The 24,410-nt window shown below is 38.6% G+C and overlaps 1 protein-coding gene across 5 annotated transcripts in view, besides 1 other annotated feature; it reads right to left on the bottom strand.

The window, feature by feature from the left end:
* Positions 1-24,410, bottom strand: part of DYNC1I1 (dynein cytoplasmic 1 intermediate chain 1) — a 337,769-nt gene that overhangs the window by 230,968 nt on the left and 82,391 nt on the right. For all 5 annotated transcript variants that reach the window (NM_001278422.2, NM_004411.5, NM_001278421.2 and 2 more), the window contains one exon: positions 9,357-9,472. In NM_001278422.2, the coding sequence (NP_001265351.1) occupies positions 9,357-9,472 (116 nt within the window). The remainder of the gene's footprint in view (positions 1-9,356; positions 9,473-24,410) is intronic.
* Positions 11,660-11,769: an enhancer, noted in NCBI's record as "active region_26296". NCBI's record gives its function as "activates an Ori minimal core promoter by ATAC-STARR-seq in GM12878 lymphoblastoid cells {active_cell/tissue: GM12878}" and the evidence as "EXISTENCE:reporter gene assay evidence [ECO:0000049][PMID:35858748]".

Below are 24,410 nucleotides of genomic sequence, written 5' to 3'. Positions count from 1 at the left end.
ACAAAGTGCTGCCACTCACCTTCTTTGTCCTGTTATTAGAAAATATATTACCTTTCTATAAGTTATAGGCTGAATAATACAATTATTGGTATAGTGTTTTATATCACTGCTATTTAAATAAGTTAAGAGAAGGAAAAGAAAAAAGAAATATTTATGTATACTATCTTTTATAGTTACATAGCTACCTCTACTTGTGCTCTTTGTTTTTCCCTATAGATTTGAATTACTCTCTGGGGTCAGTCACTTTCAGTCTGAATAACTTTCTTTTATATTTCTTGTAAGGTGGGTCTGTGACTACAAATTATCTCAATGATTATCTGTGAATGTTTTTACTTTACCTTCATTTTTAAAAGATAGCTTTGCTGGGTAGTGATTCTTGATTGATAGTTGTTTTTTTTTTTTTCTTCTTTTCTTTGGGCACTAGGAATACACCACACCACTGTCTTCTGGTCATAATTATTTCTGATAAGAAGTCAGCAGTTTATCTTATTGAGGTTCTCTTGTAAGTGAAAATTCATTTTCTCTTGCTGCTTTCAGGATATTTTCCTTGTCTTTGGGTTTCAGCATTTGTACTATGCTGTGTCTATGGAACTATTTGCTTTAATCTTACTTGGAGTTTAGAGCCTCTTAGGTTTATAGTTAAAGTTTTTCATCAAATTTGAGAAATTTTATTCCATTATTTATTTGAGTATTTTCTACTCCTTTTTCTTTGATCTATCCTTCTGGCATTCCTGTTACAGGTAGGCTGATTTGCTTAATGGTATCCCACATTTCTCTGAGGATCTCTTAGTTTTTCTTCATTGTTTATCCTTTCTCATCTTCAGACTGCATACTCCCTATCAATCTATCTTGAAGTTTGCTAATTCTTTTCTTCTATTAGTTCAATGTTTGTTTATGTGCCTTTAATGAATTTTTCACTTCAGTTTTTGTACTGAACTCTAGAATTTACATTTGATTCCTTTTTTTTCCAAAAAATTTCTAGCTCTGTGTTGACATTCTCTATTTGGTGAAATATAGTAATCATACTTTCATTTACTTCATTAGTATGGTTTCTTTTAGTTCTTTGAAAAAACACATACACACATACACAACTCTGAAGTCTTTGTTAAATCCATCTAGTTGCCCTCACAGGCAGTTTCTGTTGCCTGCTTCCCTGCCTGTGTAGGGGTCAGACTTTCTGGTTTCTTTGCCTCAAATTTCTTTTTTTAAGAAATTGACTTTGATAATATATTGTAGCAGCACTGGATACCAGTCCCCCCAACCCCCAGGTTTGTTATTGTTATTTGCTTGCTTATTTGTTTAGTGATTGGTTGGGCTATTTTGGTGAAATCTGTTCTCCCCTGTCCTCCCACAGTGTGAATCCTCTCATACTGGTCCTGGAAGGGCGCAGCCTTGGGCATGTGCATAGTTATCCTGCGGTAACAGGTTTTTGTAGTCCATTTAGCAGTTCCTTTCTCTGATCACTTCAACTGCTCAGTTTCACTAATTGCTGCCATTGAGTTCCATAATTGTTGCTCTATAGTTTTCAACACTGCCCTGGGGCACAATTTTCTCCACAGGTTGAAATAAGCCTGAATTTAATTTACAGTTTTTGAGACCAGTTTTTGAGATGTGTTGTGATCCCAGAAGGGCTCTTCTTAGCTGTCTGTTTTCCTGGTTCTGTCTGGTAAGCTAGCTATGTTTCAGCTTGTCTACACATTTAGCACATCTACCAGTCTTTTCTTAATTGCTTTACACCACTATCTTGATTGTTTTGAGGATGCCCTTAGGCTTGAACATTGAAAATCATGTTAGCTCTTTTGAGAAGACATTCTGAGCTCTCTGATTTTGACTTGCCTCTCTCCCTGGTCAAAATCTTTGCACCAAGATTCTGGAGCTGGGGGAGGGGACAATGGCACACTTCTTTCTGAGTGACACCCTTGCTTTAGCAGCTGGCTGTGTGGGAGAGTAGGGTACTGCTATTGCTTCTGGTCTACTTAGCTTGCTTTTCCCACCATGAAACCTCTGCTTTACACATGAGCCATGGAGAAGACAGTTGGGGTCCCATGTTCTCAGCATGTTGAAGCCAAGGTAAAATCTCCATCCCTCAAGTTAGTGTTGGGCTGAAAAAAGGGAGTCCCCACCTTGTACTCACACTTGCTTGGAACTTATCTTCTGAAACAAGTAGCTGGGGCAGTATGAGAAATGCTAATGTCTTGCCTCTTCCAGGAAGATACAATAGCTCTCCAAGTGGGAGCTGGCAGGAGAGGTAGCCCTGTGTTTTCTGCTGCATCCACCTGAAGTAATTTCCTTAAAGCTGAATTGGGGGCAAGGAGGGAATGGAGTATGGTTCAAATACCATAGAATCTTCCTGTTTTTACCAAGTTGTGATTAGTTTTATTAGATAAATGTTTTTCTTTTTTTCTTTTTTTTACTTGCTATATGCTATTAGGACTGCTCCCAGATATTTTAAATAGTTGTGCGGTTTTGTTGTTGTTATCATTTTTACCAATTTTACTGGGAAGTAGATTCATGGACCATCTCACATGCCCCATGTGCTCTATCTCTTGTGTCTACTTTATGCTGGAAGTGGAACCTTAGATGTTTCTTAAGTAAGTCAACATATCAGTTGTTACTCTCCAGGGAATTAAAGGTTTGCTATGCCTTGTAATATTATTTAGTTCTGCTATTTCTTGACTGTGTCATTGATTATGAGAGGTAGGCAAAAATAATTTTTGTGTGTAGCGGGGCTTATATTTGAAAATTATTAATATGCTTTTCTGTTTGTCTTTGTGAATGTAATGATATTCACCCTAGTGTACCTAGGGCATTTTTTTTGCCAGTAGAGAGATTAGAATTTGATATAGAATGAAAATAAAACAGCTAAGGTAAAACTCAGCTTCCATCTCAAAACATTGAATTTTGTAATCCCACTGTAGTTTGAGAGCCAAGTTTAATTGAGGGAGAAAGGATATTCCAGTTTTTTTCCTTACCATTTAAAATATCAATAACTACCAAGATCACTCCTTCTGTCCAGAACAGTAAAACCTTGAGACTCCATGGTAGAATGAAGATATAAATTGAAGGAAGTTAAACAGGGGAATTTATTTCCAGATAGGAGCATTTCGGAAGAAGAGACAAAGTTTCAGATATATCTGGATTTTCACTTTCTGGGGGAAGCATTAGGAGAGGTGGAGTGTTAAACTAAGAGGAGGAATGAGCACAGGGTTCTTGAACCACACTCCTTTTTTGGGAATCTGAAAAGAGACCACCATGCAATAGATCTTATTCACCATAGGCATCTGAGCCTCCCTGGGGGTGACTGGCATGATAAGACTGAGAAAAGAACAGGTGAGGATCTCCCTTAAATATTCTGAGGCATGGGCACCAAAGCGAGAGTCAGTATGCCAAGAGATCTGCTGTGGTGGATAAAGGCATGGCATGGGCTGAAGGTAGACCTCTAGGATGGAGAAAGGACAAGGCATCAACTCAAGGTCTGGAGACCATGACAGCTGAGAGGAGACTAAATCATCAAAAGAGAGATAGCCAATGCTCCCTAGGAACATTGCCAAACTAAGCCAAAAGAACAAATCACAAGTTCACCAGCTACACACTCTAACACAGGGTGCCAGTGCCCAGGTGGACAAAGGACATCATGCCAGAGGGCAACAGATGTCAGCCAGCATGCTGCCAGGGACTAGCACAAGGCCAGAGTCCCTCATCCTCCCTATCTCCACCAAGGCCATTAGATCATGTAAACCTCATCTTTCTTCCCTCTACAATTGACCATGATCTCAGAGAGAGATGCAGATGAGAGGGGGACTCTATGAATTTGGGCATTTCTACCCAAGATTAATGGAACATACTAACAGGGACGGTTTAAAAGATGAGAGTGAACTAAAGTTGTTTATTTTGTATATTTTCTCCATGTCAACTAGTGGTATTATAAATGGCTGCAGATAAAATAAAGGAACTGCATTCTCTCGGCACCTCTGATTTATAAGGTGAGTAAATTCTAGCAATGCTGCAAGCGTAATAATGTATATGAGTGTGCTGAACACATAATAAATATTATTTTTCTCTTTACCTCCCTTTTTTTTCTTTTTCTTACACCAAAGTGGGCATTTTTCCAATATATATTCTTGGCCACTTAGCATCCAAACACCCATTGTTCTAAAAGGAAGGATATAAAAATAGATCAAAGTTGAGTCATAGCATCCCCAAACATTATGGGAAGCTGAACTTGGGCAGTTATTTCTCTGCCTTGTCCCTCACAGCTGACACAGGGGCATGTAACCTAGTCCTGGCTAATGGACTCCCTTGAGGGAACACTGTCAAGAGGCAGAGAGAGTTAGAGGTTTCCAAGCCAGCAGTGACTACAGAGTTTAAATCATGAGCCTAACAGAGAGTATCCAGTGACCGGAAGTCAGGAGGCTCAGGTCTTCTAACCAGGAAGGTTAACTGGTATGATCTTGCTGTGTTAGCTGCTGTCTTAGTCTGCTCAGGCTGCCATGAAAAATAGCATAAACTGGGTGGCTTAAACAAGGACAATTTATTTTCTCACAGTTCTGGAAGCTGGGAAGTCCAAGATCAAGGTGCCAGCCAGTTCATTTTCTGGTGAAAGCTCTCTTTCTGGCTCGCAGACAGCTGCCTTCTTGCTGTGTCCTCACATGGCCTTTCCTCGGTGAACACACACACAGGGAGAAAGATCTCTCTCTCTCTCTCTCTCTTCTTTTTCTAATAAGGCCACCAATTAGAGATCCTACCCTTATGACTTCATTTAACCTTAATTACCTCCTAAAAACCCTATTTACAAACATAGTCGTATTAGGGGTTAAGCCTTCAATATATGAATTGTGGGGATACACAATCCAGTCGATAGCAGCTACCTAATTTACTTTTTATTTCAAACCTAATGCTCTGGCTTTTTTTTCTTTTGTCAATTCTATCAAGTATCTCATATCTTCTCAACAAACCTTTTTTTCTGTTTAAACTTAATTAGAGTTAGTTTCTATTGTCAGCAACCACAAACTCAGTCTGGTACAGAAACTACCATCAGGAGATAGTCACGTGGGAAGCTGATGTTGGTTATCTGCCATAGCTGATGCTAAAGAAAATAAAAATTCAGTAAGAGTTCAGGAATGGGAATCTGTCAGCTGTAACAAATAGCTACATAATTTTTCTTCTATGGTGATCTTTAATGAAGTGTCCGTTGAAAAGAAGGATTTAGGGGATCAAATTTTCACTGCTATTGAATAGTGTGAGTGGCATGAAGAATTTAAAGACACTAGGATGAGGTGGATACTTCTAATGGGACTGGACAGCTGTAAGAAATAGATGACAGGTTGAAGTCTCTATATTTTAGATCTAGGCATAGACCCATGGACTTTCTCTGCTTGTGATAAGTATCTACAAAAATGTCAAAGTCAAATGCAAAGTTTAAATTCTGTGGGTTTCTGAATAAGGTCTGTGGAATTGCTAGTGTCACCAGGTGACTTATGTGAAAGTGACAGCAATGATCAGGAAATAATGGGAAATTGAATGTAGGTAAGAATACGGAGGCCTGGGAGTACCTCCAAACCATGTTCTACACTAAGCCTTGCTTGACAGCCAAAGACCTGCAGCCTTTCTCTTTGCATCTTCATCATCCTACCTCAGGGCTGAGCCAGTTCTCTATCTGTAGCCCTTGTCAATCTCACCTTCAACATGGAGCATCATGTCAGCAGGACCTGGAGAGGAAGCTGTAGCTGGTATCTTTAAGACCTAGTTAAGACATTATGTAGGCCAGAGGATGGAGGAAAAATCTTTGAAAACATAAGTACTCGCTACCTTAAGAAAGTCTCTATTGGTCTAGTCATCTGGTAAACTCCAAAGTATATGTGAATACCTTAATTCTCTAATATTAAGAGTCGAAATGCTTAGTGGGTCATTCTGGGTTTTGCAGGCAACATGTTCAACATTTGCACCTATTTATTCAATCCATTTACCCAGTGGTTTGAAAGTTTTTCTTTCAAATGGCTATACTACTTGGAAATTATGGTCCAGCTGACCCAATGGTGCCCCAAGTGTCTATGGCAAATCAAACAAATGTCCCTAAGAGGTGAGTCTCAGAAGAAGTGCTTAGATTTTAGAATAATAATGTGGCCTCTTTATTGCATTACTCTCCCTTTGAGAGAGATGTCTTGGTTTGCTACTGGGCCTGAGTAGAGATTAAACCTTGACCACAAGATACCAGGTGACTATCAAAACAAACTATGATTATGTACCAGGTTGTAGAAATTTCCTCCTCCTTCCTCCAGTGTGGCTTGCATCTTTCCAGCAGATTAAGAAATTCTCATTCCCCCAGGGGGAACATAGTGAACTTGGTGTTTCTAGAGATGTCTGGCATTATCTTTGTCGTTCAACAGCATTTCTTGGGTACTCAGGATAAGCCATGCACTCACTCACTATAATAAAGATGCAAAAGACTGGCTCCCTAAGCCCAGGACCTCATGGTTGGTACAGAAATGGGTTCATAATAGGCAACAGAGAGGCAGCCTTGGAGGGGACCATAATTTCGTTTTCCTTTCTTGCTACTTGGGAATAAAATTATGTGTTTCAAATATATTGGGGCAAAGGTATCCTTCTCCAAGTCAGTGTTGGCCATTCTTGGCCTTCTTTCCCTGCAGAGAAGGAAGGTCTAACCTTGTTGAAAGAACAGTATTCATGGAGAATTTATACTTAAATCTTGCTTATTTATATCACTGTCTGGAGTGTTTCTCATAACAGATCATTATGATCAAAAATTAATACTTACTATGATGAGAATGTTCATTACGGTGCACAGTACAGAAAGGATGCTTAAGCTTGGGCAAATCCAAAGTGCCTTCCCCTTCATTTTCAAAAGTAAAATGGGAATGTGTAAGAACTTGAATGCACTAGAATCCATTAGAGGCAGAACAAATCAATGCTCTGAGATCATTAGTTTGATTATCATTAAACTGTCCACAGTCAAACAATGACAAAAAATAATCAGCATGCCTTCTTACATTGTGGGCAACAGCAAGCCAAAGTGGATGTTATATATGCCAGAGCTTCAAATGTTAGCCACCCAAGAGCCTCATTGTGTCATAAAATTCCGTAGTTGTTTCCTGCCGCTGAAAGGCGCAGTTTTCATGAAAACATTGCCATGGCTCAAACCCCACAGTGGAGCCAACCCACATCTGCCGCATGGTAGAACCTCAGTGCCAACTGTCCACTGCTCCACGCAGCTCTCCTGCCAACCACCTCCCCACAGCAGGTGAAAGTGAGCACCAGCACCCTCTATGGCCGGGCAGCCGGGTGACTGCCGGCAGCCAAGGGTCAAGGCATCATCGCCTGTGGTGAGGGGCAGTTTGCTGAACCCAAATTGAAAGGTTTTTCTGTCCAAATCCATCCAGGATTGCTTAAATGTCAAGAACTATGGTAGCTAGCTTTGGGTTCTGTATTGTAATCTGAACCATGTAAATGCCCTTCACCACAAAAAAGCTTGATGGATCTTGTGAACAAAACAGAAAGAACTTCTGCCAATAGCTGAGAAATAAATTCCCCCTTTCCTGCTGCTTGGACCACAGCATAATGAGGGCTCCCAAGCTCTCCTTGCAGTAATAAAATGGAATGTACAGCCTTTTCCTTTTGATGTGCTCCAGTTTAAAACTTTAGAGCTGATGCCTTTTCATCCTTAATTTATCTTCCCTTGTAAATATTTCTTTACCACTTCCAATATCTTAAGTACACATTTTAAAAAATAATTCACTCCTTCTCCTATTTCAGTTGTATAACTTTATGCTATGGGTCAAGTTTTGGGCTAAATAAACATGCCTCCAGCTACAGCTCTGCAAATACCTCTGGCAGCAAATTAAGTCAAACAAATGTTTTGGTTGGGTGGTGAGGATGTTTTTTAACGATCTTCCTGTTCTTGTCTGGAGGCCCAAGGATAGACTAGGTGAACTCTCACAGGCTTTTCTAATTTTGTATTTTCTTTTTCTTTTCTTTCTTTCCCCCTCGCTAACTGTATTTTCAGCCACGTTAATATACAGGTCTCATTTGTTGGGTTGGTTGGTTTAAAAGCTCACCAGCAGAGGGTGCTACTTGTTTGCTTCTAAAATTCATTTCACTGGGGCTTGAGAAATGGAGGCCCTGCTACTGAAGAACTGTCCCCACAACAGCTTGTATAGGCAAGATTTTCAGAATGCCTAACGGCACCCCGGACTTCAAGGAATCTGATTCACTTTGCTTTTGGCGTTATTTATTTAGAACCAAAACTGAAAACCTGTAGCTTGCATAAACAAAAATGCACTGATTTTTATATTTCCGGTAAATCACTAAGGGGGAAATGCTAATCATTTTTGCATTTCATGGCTTTTGTCCATACTTACTACATAGCAACAAGGAACCCAGAATTCCAACATCCTCTTCACCCACCGAAGAATAAAATAACATAAAGTAAAAAGAGTATTTGCTTTGCTATAACAACGTTAGCCTCTAACAATGAAACTTTCACTTACCCTATTTTCAAAATACATCTCCCTCTTCTGCTTTTGCATAATCTTGCTTTGATAAAGTTTTGAATTCTAGGAAGTATTTATCAACTTCGACTTCTCTCATGAGTGTATTTTTATGATTCTCTGATACCCGTATGTGACTTTTTCACTTGATATTTTTCTGGCATACACAAAGAAGGTATGGAGTTCAATTTCCATTCACCTATGTGGAGTTTGCATGGGAAAATACTTTTAAATTGTGGTCAGAAACTCTCGTGTGTTGTTACCTCAATTGGCAAACCAAATCAGTGGTCAGCAAAGGTTTTCTGTAAAGGGCCAGGTTATAATAAAGATTTTAGGCTTTGTGAGCCATAAGGTCTCTTTCACAACTACTCAACCCTGCCACTGCAGCAAGAAAGTAACCACAGAAGTCAATGGTTGGATATAGCTGTATTCCAACAACACCTTATTTCTAGGAACAGGTGGGTGGGCTATAGTTTGCTAAGCCATGTAAATGATGAATCTTAATGTATGCTTAAGATTCTTAATGTATGCTTAATGTATTCTTATTGATAAAATTCAGCACTGTTTCTATTACATTGTTCTTTGATGATTTTTGTTCTCCTCACATGATTTCGATGTAGTGAGATAAACCTCTTTAGTTTATCTAATTTAAAGTTGCCAGGTCACTTGGAAGAGTATCACCGAGTTCCCTCTCCATAGCTTTCAAACTCAGAAGAGGCTTTGGCTTTCAGTGTCATTATGTTTGTATCCCATGAAGAGCTCTTATGGTAAGAGGAAATCAACAAGAAAGATGTTACTTCCCAGCGATTTCTCCAGAGATAATATGGAAAGTAAGCCAAAGACATAGTTTACCTTCAGACTGATGCGTGGCAAGAGGAGTCTGGGTCTCCTTTGAGTAGGACACTACTTCCCTTGGCAGGAAATCCACTTGGGTGACCTTTGACACGCCCAGTTTATGCAGTCTTCTTCTGTAAGTAACAAAGAATAAATGCTTAGAGAGGGGAGGCATTCCTTGCAGAAGAGCTATCAGTAATAAAAGAAAGCACTAAAACAAACAAACCACAAATACCCTCAGCTTCTGAGTGCAAGGGGCAGGGTCATGAAGCAGAACTGGCTCTGGGCTGGAAGTCAGGACACGTGGGCTCTTGGCCCACGTTGGCCCTAATAGGCTGGGTGATGTCAGATAAGACCCTCAGCTTTCCTATCTGTAAAGTCTTGGTCCAGCTTACAAGAGACCTCTTCCATTCTGAGCATCCCAGATTCTACTCAGTTAAAATTTATTGAGGGAACTTCCATTTGCAATACAGGATTCTAGTCTCTTAGGAAAGAAGGAGAAAAGGAAAGTAATGCTTCTTAAATTTGAAAAAAAAAAAGAGAGGTGGGTTCTTTAATGGTGTAACACATTCTCTATCATAGCAGTGAGGGGATTATATTTAAAGAATGAGTTTAACACTTCTCATTTCTGCAGAATAGGAACTAACACAGATTAGCATGTGAATTTGCTTGAAAGACACATTGATATAGCACAGATGAGTGAAAGGGGGCACTGGGCTCAGAGTGATAAAGCCTTAGCACAGCATTCCAGACCTAACCATGACCATGTAAGAAACCATTTCTGAATATTTATGTAGCACTTCAAGGGTTTTCAGGGGTCTTTAGATTCATTATGTTACGTGCCTTTATGACACCTCTATGAAGTATGTGGATAGATGTTATAATCTCCATTTTACAGATGAGGATAGTGAGATTCCGTTAAGAGATGTGCCCAAGTATATACAACTCGTAAATTGTAGAAGAAAGGTTATGAGTCTTGGTCCGTTGTTTTCCTACCAACTCGAACTCCTAACTAAGGTTCTTACTGGTGAGTTCTTGAGTTACTGCAAAAATCGAAGTGCCTCCTGAGACACCCAGGAAACATCCAGTCGTGGAGGTATAGTAGTATCACCTGGTGATTAAATACATAACCCCTAGCCCCACCATTTACCAGCGTGTGTCTCATCTTGAACAAGTCACTAATCTCTCTGTGCCTCAGCTTCCTCATCTGTAAAACGGAGACAGAGGTACTTTCTAATTGTTATGGGTAATGTCTATGTACCACATACACATAATGCATATGCCACATATATATTATGTAGTCATATGTACATAATTTACAAACATATGTATTTTAAAACAGCTTCTGGAACATTGTTTTTAGTATATAGTTATTATGTTATTAGTATTGGACATATTCTATTTCTAAAAATTTCCAGGCATGGAGTGCATGCGTCTCTGTGGGAGAAAAAGAAAAAAAAGGTATACTACCCATTTAGCCAAAATCTTGCATTCCCTAGCTCTCTAGGAGCAACAGAAGTATATTCTATGCATATTATTGTCCTTAATTGTTACTAGCGGATGGCACAGCCTTATTTCTTTTTCTTTAAATTATTATTAATAGGAATAAAGTGAGAAAATGCATGGCACAGTTAGGAATTTTCACATACAATTTCCCAAACACTGTAGGAAAACAAAAATTCTTCTTGTCTATGAGTTACTAACACAATTGAGATGAGATCTAAGATGTGCTCAAAGTAGGTACAAGCAAATAAACAAACAAACGCTGGTTAGAGGACAAGCCTCGCTGGCTGTCTCTGTGTTCTAAGTGACCGTGACTGGAGCCCAGGCTCCACGCAGGCCTGAACCACATGGGCCTGTTTCACTGGGAGCTCTGGGACACAGAATGCAAGAGAGTCCAGGCTGGGCCCAGGCTGAGCTTTGCACAAGTGACAAACCTTGCTCCCTTCTTACACAGAAATGGGGAAAGCACATACCATATATCAGAAACAAAATCACCAAATGAGGGAAAATCCTCAAAGTTTCAAAGTAAGACATTCAAGGTATTATTTTAAAACCTCCCTGGGTCAGAAAAGAATGTTTTCCTGCCTGAAGTGGGTCTTTCTTGAAGCACCTAAAGAAGAAAACATGAAAAGACATTGCAGGACTGCTTGAGGCAAAGCCTCTCCGCTGCTTAGTAGCCCAGTGTCTTTCTGAGGCCCCAGTAGATCAGTCTTTATTATAAACAAGGAAGTGGAAAATAATCCACTTCAAATTGAGGCCACCTGAGCACAGAGAGATCACCCTAAACCCTCAACTGCCCTGGGCACCTGCATGAGACCCAGGGAGCTCCAGCTCTGGTTAAGTGGTAGCTACCTCTACAGGCAGGGATTTCAGGGCATCCTGCTAACATGACGTAAGCTGCAGCCCTATCTCGTTTGGGACCAGCAACAGGTGCTGGGCAACAGGAGGCTGATGTGTAATTTGATACTCCACCATGGCGGACTGAAACCAGCAGGTGAGACCATACAGCACAATGGTGATGTCATGCACTCATTCTGAAACTGGGTTCATAGTTCTGCTTTGAACATACAGCTGAATGGTAGGGGAAAACTTTGGACAAGTGACAAACTTCTCTAAGCCTCATGTTTCTTATCTGTAAAATGGGTACCTGTCATTGAGTTGTGAGGACTGAATGAAGCTAATGCTTACATAGCACTTAGTTTAGTGCCTGGTATATATCAAGTGGCTCTTGGCTCAAGCAGCTCTACTTTATCTGTTCTGATGATTATAATAATGTTTATATTTGTAAAAGAAAATCAGAGAAAGCAGATTTAGGAGTGTCCTACATTAAAGATTCCTTAAGATAGTAGAGTTGAAGATGATCTCTGACAACAAAATGAGAATCATACTCCTAATTTCTTTATATGGGCACATGGATAGGATGTGGCTGCTTGGGAGAGTTCATTTGCTTTTCCTTAACTTCTTTTCCTTTGAAACATCTGTTTTCAAAACGTAGGTGGAGTAAGTGTGTTTATCCCACTAAAACAAAACCTTTTCTTTTCTCAACAACCATTGAAAAGTTTCAACCAGTTTTTCACTGATGCTATGTTTGTGAGTTCAGGGTCTGACTTGTACCTAAGACATCAAAATAAAAGCTGAGTTGTCATCATTAGGTTTTCCCAATGTACTGATCATCTGACACACTGATAAGCTTGTGGTTCTTCTGGCTTGAGGGTGAATCTGTCTCAAATAATTTATAATTTTAAAGCAATTCCTTATAACACTTCTTAGAGGGTACTGGTAGATTACTGTATCTTTCCATATGATCTCTGGATGGATGAAGCTGCATTTATATCAAATGCTTCTATTCTTTGTGCCTATTTTGCTGCTGTTTTAGTAACCAGGGACTTACAATATGCCAGACGCTTTTCATACATCATCTTATTTTATCCTCATTAAAATTTTATCTCATATTCCAATTTTACAGATGAGAAAACTGAGGTTCAAGTGATGTTAAGAAATTTTCCAAAATCACAAAGGTAGTGACAGAGTTGGGCTTTGGCTCTATGCAAGAGTAAGTCCCAGGGCCATGTACTTAAAAACTTTGAAACTATACTTAAAAACCTTGTTTTCCTGCGTGTTCTCTAATGCCTTATGACCATCCACTCATTGAGGCATGCTTCTTAAAACCTAATATAGTGGTCCAAGCACGTGTGGTCATTTTAGAAGCATGAGAAAGAATTATTGAGAAGTAGCCTGGTTTAGATTGTTAGGACATAATGAAAGGATTATGTTTCTGAGTTAAGTACCATACAATCACTCCCAGCCCTAGCCAGTCCAGAAAGGATGACCAGAAGGTGTCGTCCTTTCATAGCAAAGACCTTTTGCTTAGGGATTTCTCTAAGTTAAACTAAGCAAAGGAGGAAGAGCAAGACAACACTGTGGCATTCATACCACTGCAGTTCCCGTGCCTTCTAGTTAGGCTGCAGACTCTATGCTGGTTCCTCAGTTCCGACTCTGTGCTACCTTTCCTGCCATCCCACCACCCCTCCTGCATAGCTTATGCCCTGTTCACTGTACACCCAGATACTGCTGCCATAGCCCTTGGTACATGTCACTGTACAGTCATGTGTGGCTTCATGATGGGCACACCTTCTGAGAATTGCATGTTAGGCAACTTTGTCATTGTGCAAATATCACAGACCGCACTTACGCAAACCTAGATGGTATGGCCTACTATACGTCTAGGCTAGATGGGATAGCTTATTGCTCCTAGGCTACAACCCTGTACAGCATATTACCGTACTAAATACCGTAGGCAGTTGTAGCACAATGGTTGAGTATTTGTGTATCTAAAAATAGAAAAGGTACAGTAAGTATACAGTATTATAATCATACAGGACCACCATAATACACAGTGCGTCATTGACCAAAATATCATTATGTGACACATGACCGTATTCACTTCTTTTTCATGTCTCTCACCCATGACTAGACTGCAAAGATACTTATTTATCCCTTACTAATTTATGCCATACCCTGGGCCTTAGTTTAGCGTCAGGTACATAGCAGGCACTAAATAAATGTTTGAGGCAGGAAGGTAGAGAGGAAAAAAGGGAAGAGAAGGAGAAAAGGTAGAAACAATGTAGAAATATAAATTGAGACTCAAATTATGTATGTCCTGGTTGACACGGCATCATTTTAAAATCATGTGGTGTATTTTCACCTTGGTAAAATAAAAGGGTTTATTGAAACTTTAAAATTACTGAACTATAATGCTTTAAGTAACCGTGGGAAAACAAACATTCAATATCACCTATGCAGTACAATAAAGCTTCATATATTTGGATTAATTGTGCCAAGAGTAAACCAAAATTCGAGAAATCCTAGAGCAGAGATTCCCAAAGTGTGGTGCCTGACCCCACCAGCAGCAGTGCCACTTGGGAGACGGTTAGAAGGCAAATTCACAGTCCCCACCCCAACCCACTGAGTCAGAAATTTCAGGGTTGGGGTCTGGCAATCTGTTTTAGGAAGCTTGTCCACCTTCCCCCTTTCCCCACAACCCCTTACTCTGGTGATTCTGATGCCTGCTAAAGGTTGAGTATCACTGGCTTAAAAATACTAGATAGAGTGGAGAGATGAAAACTTCATTGTTTAGGCAGACCTGTTTGAGCTTCCCCACCCTGCCATCAGATCCCAGGCTATTCTAGAGGCTTTAGTGCCACTGAATGGGCAGACGTCTTTGAACTTCATTATGAAGTTCTATGAAACAAGCCAGGTAAAGAGATGAGGGAAAAGGTGAGAAGAAGAGGGCTACAGAAAGTAGATTGCGGTATACAAAATATTAAGAAACTGGCTCAAGAACCTTTGCTAGATAAAAAACTAAAAAGTCAGACAGATGATTCCAGACCGGGCAGTGGAACCACAGATCCTTGACAAGCTGACTTGGTCTTGTCCTGAAGTGACCTGGAGCCAACATCTCCCCAGAGCTAGGGTTTGACTTTCCCCTGAGAGTTTCTTTTCACCTTGTCCTGTCAACTTGGCTGGGAAAGCTGGCTGAGCAAAGCCATATTGCAAGAAAGTTGAAATGTTTCTTCTGAAAAGAAAAATCAGGTCTTACTAAAGAATAAAAAATAAAGCTACTTGAAGTTTGAGAAGGTTATTTGCCACTGCTCAAGGTGCAAAGATTTCCAATTTAACACTAGCATAGTCCAATCCACCCAGGTTCTGTCCATTTGTCCTTGATTGGACATTATGAATCACAAGAAGAAAACTACTCCATTGTATGAATCACTGTCCCCATTCCCCTTTCCATTTCTGGTTCAATTGACACTTTTGTCTATCCACTCACAATAAGGTTAGCATGGCTTTGCTAGCTACTTATAAAGTTGTATTATCCAAAAAAAGGTGAAGCTCCAAGTGTGATATAAGGATGATCTACGATAGCTACTAAAGCTGAAGAAAGTTAGGATTATACAAACTTACTCCCAAATAAAAGCATGAGAAACATGTACATTACCAATGGAATTCTAAAAAATATATTCTATGTGGCTCTTCTCTCACTTCAAAGATAAAGGAAATTTTGAGAAAAACGTGAATGATATTTTGGGATGTTATGAAAACTTTAAGTACTATTTTTAGTACTATGAATAATTCTTGCAAAGCATAGAGTTATTTACTAAGCTGGAATGCCCTGGCTTTCTCCACATGTTCTGAAAAGAGCTCCATTCCTTTCAGGACCATAAACAATGGATCGTTAGCTTCTGGAATCATTGCATCTACATCCTGAAATAAGAGGAGAGGCACTGTTTTGTGCCTACATGTGATGAAGGCCTAAAGAAAACCCACTAGATTTCAAAGAAACTTTCTAGTTACCTTGAAAAATAAAGGCCAAAAATTTAAATGGAAAAATAATTTTGACATGTCAAGGACTGGATGGGGAGCTGGTTATGAAAGGCACGGAGAAGCAGCAGAGGTGGTTGACCAGAGACTTAAGATCAAGGCTGCCTTAATTTTTTTGTTAAAATAAAGTTCACACAGTATGAAATTTCCTTATTTAAACTGTATAATTTAATGGTTATTAGTATATTCACAAAATTGTGCAACCATCACCACTATCTAATTACACAACCTTTTCGTTACCCTCTCAAAAATCCTGTGCCTACTGGCAGTCACTCCCCATTCCCGCCTCGCCTAGCCCTTGACAACCACTAATAATATGTTTTCTACTTACTTGGAAATAAATGGAATAATAAAAGATGTAGCCTTTTTGTCTCACTATTTTTACTTAGTCTAACATTTTCAAGATTCAACAATGTTGTAGCATGTATCATTATGTCATTCTTTCTATTGATGGATAAGATTTCATTGTATGGTTATACATTACTTTTAATCCATTCATCAGTTGTTAGACTTTTTGTTTGTTTCCACTTTGGGTTATTATGAATAATGCTGCTACAAACATTTGTATACAGTTGGCCCTCTGAATCCACAAGTTCCACATGTGCATATTCAACCAACTGCTGATCAAAAATATTCAAAGATAAACAATATCACAATTTTTAAAAATAAAAATTTTTAAAAATACAGTATAACAATTTATGTAACATTTACATTGTATTAGGTATTATAATACAGAGATGTTTTAATTTATACAGGAGGATGTACATAGATTATATGCAAATATTACACCAGTTTCTATAAAGAACTTGAGCATACTCAGGTTTTAGTAACTGGGAATGGGGGAATTCCTAGAACCAATCCCCCGAGGATATGGAGAGATGGCTGTACACATTTTTGTGTAGACAGTTTCAATTATCTTGAATACATATCTAGGAGTGGAGCTGCTGGGTCACATGGCAGGTGATTATATATTTAACTTTTTGAGGACCTGTCAAATTATTTTCCAAAGTGTCTGTACCATTTTACATTCCCACTAGCAGTGTATTAGCGTTCTAATTGCTTTACAACCTCCTCAACTTTTATTATCTGTTTATTTGATTATAGCATCCCAGTGAATATGAAGTGATATCTCACTTTGGTTTTGATTCGTGTTTCTCTGACGGCTAATGATGTTGAGTATCTTTTTTTGTGCTTACTGACCATTTGTATATCTTCTTTGGAGAACATGCCTATTTGAATTTTTGTCCATTTTAAAATTGGGTTATTTGTTTTTTTTTTAATGGTTGAGTTGTAAGAAATGTTTATAACTGTGGATATTAGAACTTTATCAAATACATGACTTGCAAATATTTTCATCCATTCTGTGGGCTGCCTTTTTACTTTCTTTATGGTTTATTTTGAAGTGCAAATATTTTCAATTTTAATAAAATCCAATATATCTATTTTTTCTTTGGTTGCTTGTGCTTTTGGTAACATATCTAAAAAAATCATTGCCTAACCCAAGGACACAAAGACTTAAACCTATGTTTTCTCCTAAGAATTTTATAGTTTTAGCTCTCACATTTATGTCTGTGTTCTATTTTGAGTTAATTTTTGTATATAATGTGAGGTAGGGGTCCAACTTCACTCTTTTGCCAGTGGATATCCAGTTTTCCTATGCTTAATTTTCTTAATGTTCAGAGATAATATTGAACAGGGAAAAAGAGAAAGGCTTCTGTCATGAATATTGATTTTCATTGATGCCACTTGCTCCAAGCAGGTGCTAAATCTCACAGATGAAGGATGGATTCAAGGGGAGAGACCCCATCACCTGCAAGTTTCCCAGGGGTTATGAAAGCTCTCAGAACACCTTCGCATGACTTCCACCACTAGCAAGAGCGTCACTAAAGTCCACCTGAATCAGTTAGATACTATACAATTCACATTCGGATACTCTGATTTCTGACAACAATGAATTATATATAGCCAACTTGCTGTTTCTGCGCTTCATATTTAAGAAAAGTAAAAAAAAAAAATTGCAAAAAGAGAGCTGTACTACTTCTTTGACTTATAAAGGAATATGACAGCACTGGAGAACTGGCTTCAGACAGCCGAAGTTCTAGGTAAGATGGCTGCCATGAGAATTCCATAGATGTCACCAGCTAATCCTAAATAAAGGCGCATATCAGAGAATATTATACCTTTTGTGCATATTACAAATATTGGAAGGTAAAGCTGCAAGATATATCTACTCTGAGATTAGTTGAATATTTTGTTTTAGTATGAGAATGCAAGAACGTGTACCAAGAGACAGAAGAGCCAGAATTAAAATACACTTCAGGAATTGAAGAAATTCTTGAGATTCCATAAACTGTGAATCACAAATAACACTGAGCAATGGTCTCTGAATAGCAATCACAGTGTTTAACAACTGGATATTATAATGCTGATGGTACATCGGTTAGATCTGGTGGCAAGAGAGGAGTAGAGGTAGATAAGGTGGCAGAGGCAGGAGCTTGAATCAGAAGCCAGAGTGTGGCACTCAGAAGCCAGGAAACCAAAAGGGGTCATTTCAATACTAGGCAGTTTCTAGAGCAGGAATGATTCCTGAAAGGCAAGCAGATAAAACCAGGAACAGATGTTGCTATGGTGTGAATGTGTCTCCTCCAAAATTTATATTGAAAACCCCATAGTTTCAAATTTATATTGAAAACCCCAATTGTAGTATTAAAAGATGGGGGGTCTTTTAGAAAGTAATTACATCATGAAGGCTATTCCCTCATGAATTAATTAATGCCTAATGAAAGGGCTACAAGAAACTAGCTTAGGAATTTTTTGCCTGTCTGCCTTCTGCCATGTGAGGATACAGCATTTGCCCCTTTTGCCATGTGAGGGTGCAGCAATAAGGCCCTCACAAGACACCAAATGCCAGTACCTTGTTCTTGGACTTCCTAATCTTCAGAACTGTGAGAAATAAATCTATATTATTTATAAATTACCCAGCCTGTGATATTTAGTTATAACAGCACAAATGGACTAAGAAAGGTATTCTCAGAGACAAAGAATTATTTGGCCAGATGACAAAGTAGGTCAAGACCCCAAGGAATAAAAGAGTATCTTCATATTCTTAGGCCAAGGATAAAATAATATTTATTAAGTTTTATTCCTGCTATTCACATCACGATATTTCATCGTCAGATACATTAAAGATGCTGCCATAGATTTTCCTAGTACTCTAAAATTTCTTCGGGTGAGTTTCTGAAAGATGAGCCCCTCAGAATGAGAGCGATAATGGTGCTATTTTCTTCCTTCTACACTATTTTTACGTGGGTGGGATACAGTTTCCTGGATGAATGGCAAAGGAACTACTTTGGTCAACATCATATAAGCAACTGCAAATGATGGGCAAAGCACTATGCCAGATCATTATGATAGAGAGAGAATGAGGAGATAGAATACATCAATCAAAAAGTAAATAGGAATAAAAGGTAAGAGAGGGGTGGAGCAAAATGGCAGAATATGACTCTCCAGCAATTGTCCTCCCAGAGAAACATTAATTTGAATAACCGTGCATGAAAATACCTTCATAAGAGCTAAGGAAAACAATGGAGCAATCATAGAACCTGGTTGTAGCACAATAATAAGAAAATACACATTGAAGAGGGCAAAAGGGACAGTTTTATATTACCCACATCACCAATGCCAGGTGGCACAGTACAAAGAGAGTTACCATTAACTGGGGAGAAGGAGCGGGAAGCAAGCACAGGACTTTTCCTTGGATCCTAACACCAGGCTCATTAAAGTAAAATCCAGCACCAGGCAGGCCCTCATGACCCTAGATGCCAGCCTGGTACTTGCAAACTGAGCCTACAGACCTGCCCCAGCACCAGGCAGGATCCTGTAGCCTCCAGCTTTATGCCTGCTAGGTGGACTCAGTCTCTGATTCACACCACTATCATGCAGACTTCAGCAGCCTCAGATTCCAGACAGCTCTCAGTGGCAGGAGATTCCAGACAGCTCTCAGTGGCAGGCAGGCTTCAGCTGCCAAAGGCTTTCAGCCTGCTGAAGCCGCCTCAGGCTTCATGCATACCCCAACACCACATCAGCCACAGTGGACTGGGGCTTTGGAGCCATGCCAGATGGCTGCCCAGAATCTCTGGGTAAGATGAATGTGGAAGGGACTTATCAGACAAAGCTAGTCTGTGGAGACTGGAATAAGCATGTATATCCTTCAAATGCACAGACACTGATGCATGACCTTGAGAATCAAAAATAATCAGGCAAACATGACATTCCCAAAGGGTCAAAATAATGTGCCAGTGACTGACCCTACAGAAAAGGAGATATATGAACTGCCTGACAAAGAATTCAAAATAATTGTTTTGAGGATGCTTAGCAAACTTCAAGAAAATACAGAGAAACAATTCAATGAAATAAGGAAAACAATAAGTGGCCAGAATAAGACATTTAACAGGGAGGCTGAAATGATTTTAAAAAAACAAACAAAAATACTGGAACTGAAAGACACAAAAACAAAATGAAAAATGGAACAGAGAACATCAACAGCAGAATTGATCAAGCAGAAGAACTTATGAACTTGAAGACAGGTAATTTGAAAATATAAGGGGAAATATAATAAATATATTAATATAATATATAATAAATACATTAATATCTTATACATTTATATATTAATTATATATTATATATTAATATAATATATAATATAATAAATATATTATTAAAATAATAAATATAAAAACAATGTAAGGGAAAAAAGAATGAAAAGGAATAAAGAAAGCTTATGGGATTCACAGAATAGAATTAAAGGGTAAATTTTGAGTCTCAGGAGTTTAAGAAGGAGTAAAAAAGATAAAAGGGTAGAAAGCTTATTTAAAGACATACTATCATGAACCACATAATGATGTTTTGGTCAACAATGCATCATATGTATGATGGTGGCCCCATAAGATTATTAGAGTTGAAAAATTCCTATAAGTTAGTGACATCACAGTTGTTGTAACATCATACTGCAGTACATTACACATGTTTGTGGTGCTATTGGTGTTTACAAACCCACTGCACTGCCAGTCATATAAAAATATAGTACATATAATTATGTACATTATATATTTGATAATGATAATAAATGACTATGATATTGGTTTATGTATTTACCATACTTTTGATTGTTATTTTAGAGTGTACTCTTTCTACTTATTAAAAAAAGTTTACTGTACAACAGGATGCAGTGTTATGCCAGCAGCAGCCACATACATCTCATGATTACTATGTCTCATTGATGCATCATTTTCTCTTGTGCTTGACTTAATCTCAAGTTATTTTGTTCATCACGGCCCCTAAGCATACAAAATCCACTGCTAATGTTACCAGTAAGAGGCCATATCAAGTGATTGACCTGGAAATAAAGTTAAAAGTAATTAAGGACTACAAAGGTGGAAAATCAGTTATGACTATTGCTCACTAGTCAGGCCTGTCCCTTTCAGCCACAGCTATTATCTCTCTTGAAGAACAAGAACAAAGTGATGGAATCTGTTAAAGGATCTACTTCATTGAAGGCAACTAGACTAACAAATACTCAAGAAGGGCCTATATCAGATATGAAAAAATCTTCTAATGACCTGGATTGAAAACCAGGCATAGAATTGTATCCCTCTCAGGACCACAATGATCACAGACAAAGCAAAGAGTTTGTGACGTTGAAAGAAAAGGCTAGATGTGACTATGATGCTGAATTTACTGCTAGTCTAGGTAGTTTAAATGATTTAAGAATCTTTATTCACTACATAATGTGAAAGTGATGGGTGAGTCTGCAGGTGCTGATGTGAAGACAGTTGAAGAATTTTTAGAAACTCTAGATAAGCTGATTGTGGAGGAAAATTACTTGTCAGAGTGAATCTTCAATACGGATGAAACCTCCCTATGGTGGAAACAATGCCTGAAAGGACTTACATCCATAAAAAGGCTAAGTTAACATCACATTTCAAGGCATTCAAGGACAGGATAAGAGTCTTGCTTGGGGGCAATATTGCAGGCTACAAATTGAAACCCATTATGTTCTGCACAGTGAGAACCCTAGAGTCTTCAATATCAATAAGCACACATTGCCAGTGTACTACAGGAACAATAAGAAGTCATGCATGACCCAGCTCCTCTTCCAAAGTGCCCTCCTGAATTGCAATGCCAACAAAATGAAAAATTCCTGTTTAGAGAATAACATATCTGTCAAGATTTTATCATTAATAATGTTTCTGCACATACTCCTTTTATTGGTGATCTTCATCCCAAATAAAAGAGGTGTTTCTCCCTCAAAATACCACCTCTTTGATCCAACCAATGAATCAAAAAATTATAGCAGCTTTTGAGGCCTACTACCTAATGAAGACCTTTATCCAAGCTATTGCTGCAACTAAAGGAGGCACTGAGAAGACACAGGTGCAATTCTGGAAGGATTACAACATCTATGACTGCGTCAAGAACCTTGCTTGGGCTTAGAGTTATGTCACCAAGGAGTGTATGAATGACTTCGGGAAAACACTCAAGCGTCTTCTCCATGACATCAAAGGATTTGGTAAGGATGAAGAAGCTACAAATGTCAACAAGGCTATGGTTGAGATGGCAAACCAACTTTTTCTTTTTTTCTTTTTTTTTTCTGAGACGGATTCTCACTCTGTCGCCCAGGCTGGAGTACAGTGATGTGATCTTGGCTCATTGCAACCTCTGCCCCCCGGATTCAAGCGATTCTCCTGCCTCAGCCTCCCAAGTAGCTGAGATTACAGGCGCCTGCCACCACGCCCTGCTAATTTTTGTATTTTTAGTAGAGATGGGGTTTCACCATCTTGGCCAGACTGGTCTTGAACTTCTGACCTCGTGATCCACCTGCCTCAGCCTCCCAAAGTGCTGGGATTACAGGCGTGAGCCACCACACCCGGCCAGCAAACCAAATTTAACCTGGGTTGGAATTAGGATGGCATTGAGGAATCCCTAGAGGTGATTCCTGAGGAACTGACTAATGAAGAGTTGTTAAACCTGAAACAGGAACACACAGCTGAAGAAGAAAATGAAAAGTGAAAAGTTTACAAAAATATTTTTCAGACCTCAACAGCAACCATAAAAATTTTGAAAATGAACCTTAACACCAAAATGTTTTCATTAATAGAAAGGAATGTCTGTAGTACATTATCTGCTTACAAGCGAATGTATGATGAAAAAAAGAAACGGCCATCGACATATTTCTGAAAAGTGTGACATTTCTAATGAAGAGCCTCAGCCAGGTCCTTCAGGAGGTATTCCAGAAGAAGGCATTATTATCATAGAATATTACAGCTTCATGTGTATTATTGCCCCTGAAGACCGTCCAGGGGGACAACATGTGGAGGTGAAAGACAGTGATATTAATGACCCTCACACTGTGTATGCTTACGCTAATGTGCATGTTTATGTCACAGTTCTTAACAAAAAAGTTTAAAAAGGAAAAAAAAAGTTAAATAGAAAAATCTTACAGAATATTAAAAAAAACAGTATTTTTGTACTGCTGTAGAATGTATTTGTGTTTTAAGCTAAATGTTATCACAAAAGAGTCAACAAGCTAAAAAGATTACAAAGCTTATAAAGTAAAAAAGTCACAGTAAACTGAGGTTAATTTACTATTGAAGAAAGGAAAAAATTATAAATTTAGTACAGCCTAAGTGTAGTATTTATAAAGTCTATGGTGTACAGTAATGTCCTAGACCTTCACATTCACTTACCACTCACTCACTAACTAACCCAGAGCAACTTCCAGTCCTATAAGCTCCATTCATGGTAAGTTCCTATACAGGTATACCATTTTTTATCTTTTATACCATATTTTTACTGTACCTTTTCCATGTTTAGATACGGTTAAGATACACAGATATTTACCATTGTTCTACAACTGCCTATAGTATTCAATATAGTAACATGTCATACAGGTTTGTAGCCTAAGAGCAATAGGCTATACCTTACCGCCTAGGAGCATCATAGGGGATATATTCCATCAACGCTTGTGTAAGTACATTCTATGATGTTTTCCCAATGGCAAAATCACCAAACAATGCATTTCTCAGAACATATCTCCATCATTAAGCAACACATGACTTTAACAGCAGAAAGCTTTCCAAATTTGGAGAAAAATGTAAATATCCAGGTACAGGATGATCAATGGTCTCCAGTCAGATTCAATCCAAACAAAGCTACCCAAAGTAATCTTGTAATCAAACTGTCAAAAACCAAAGACAAAGAGAGGATTCTGAAGATAGAAAGGGAAGCAAATAACACATAATGGATTTCGAATATGACTAGCAGCAAATTTCTCAGCAGAAATTGTACAGATCAGGAGAGAGTGGGTTGATATATTCAAAGTATGAAAGGGAAAAAAAATCTGCAAAGTAAGAACACTGTATCCAGCAAAACTGTCCTTCAGAAATGAAGTATAAATAAAGATTTTCCCAAACAAAAACTGAAGGAGTTCATCACCATCAGACGTGTTTTACAAGAAAAACTGAAGGGAGTTCTTCAAGCTGACAGAAAAGGATGCTAATGAAAATAAAATTAAGTTTAGCCTAAAGCTGTCTCCTTATATATTTTAAGTTCTGCCTAATGGTTCCTTCATACATAGTGAACAGCAACCTATCGGGATGTGTAAATAGACTGTAACCTACTCTCATA

The sequence above is a fragment of the Homo sapiens genome, chromosome 7, assembly GCF_000001405.40.
Source record: "Homo sapiens chromosome 7, GRCh38.p14 Primary Assembly".
NCBI lineage: Eukaryota > Metazoa > Chordata > Mammalia > Primates > Hominidae > Homo > Homo sapiens.
The sequence above is the reverse complement of the archived record's forward strand: the minus strand, read 5'-3'. Positions and strand labels throughout refer to the sequence as shown.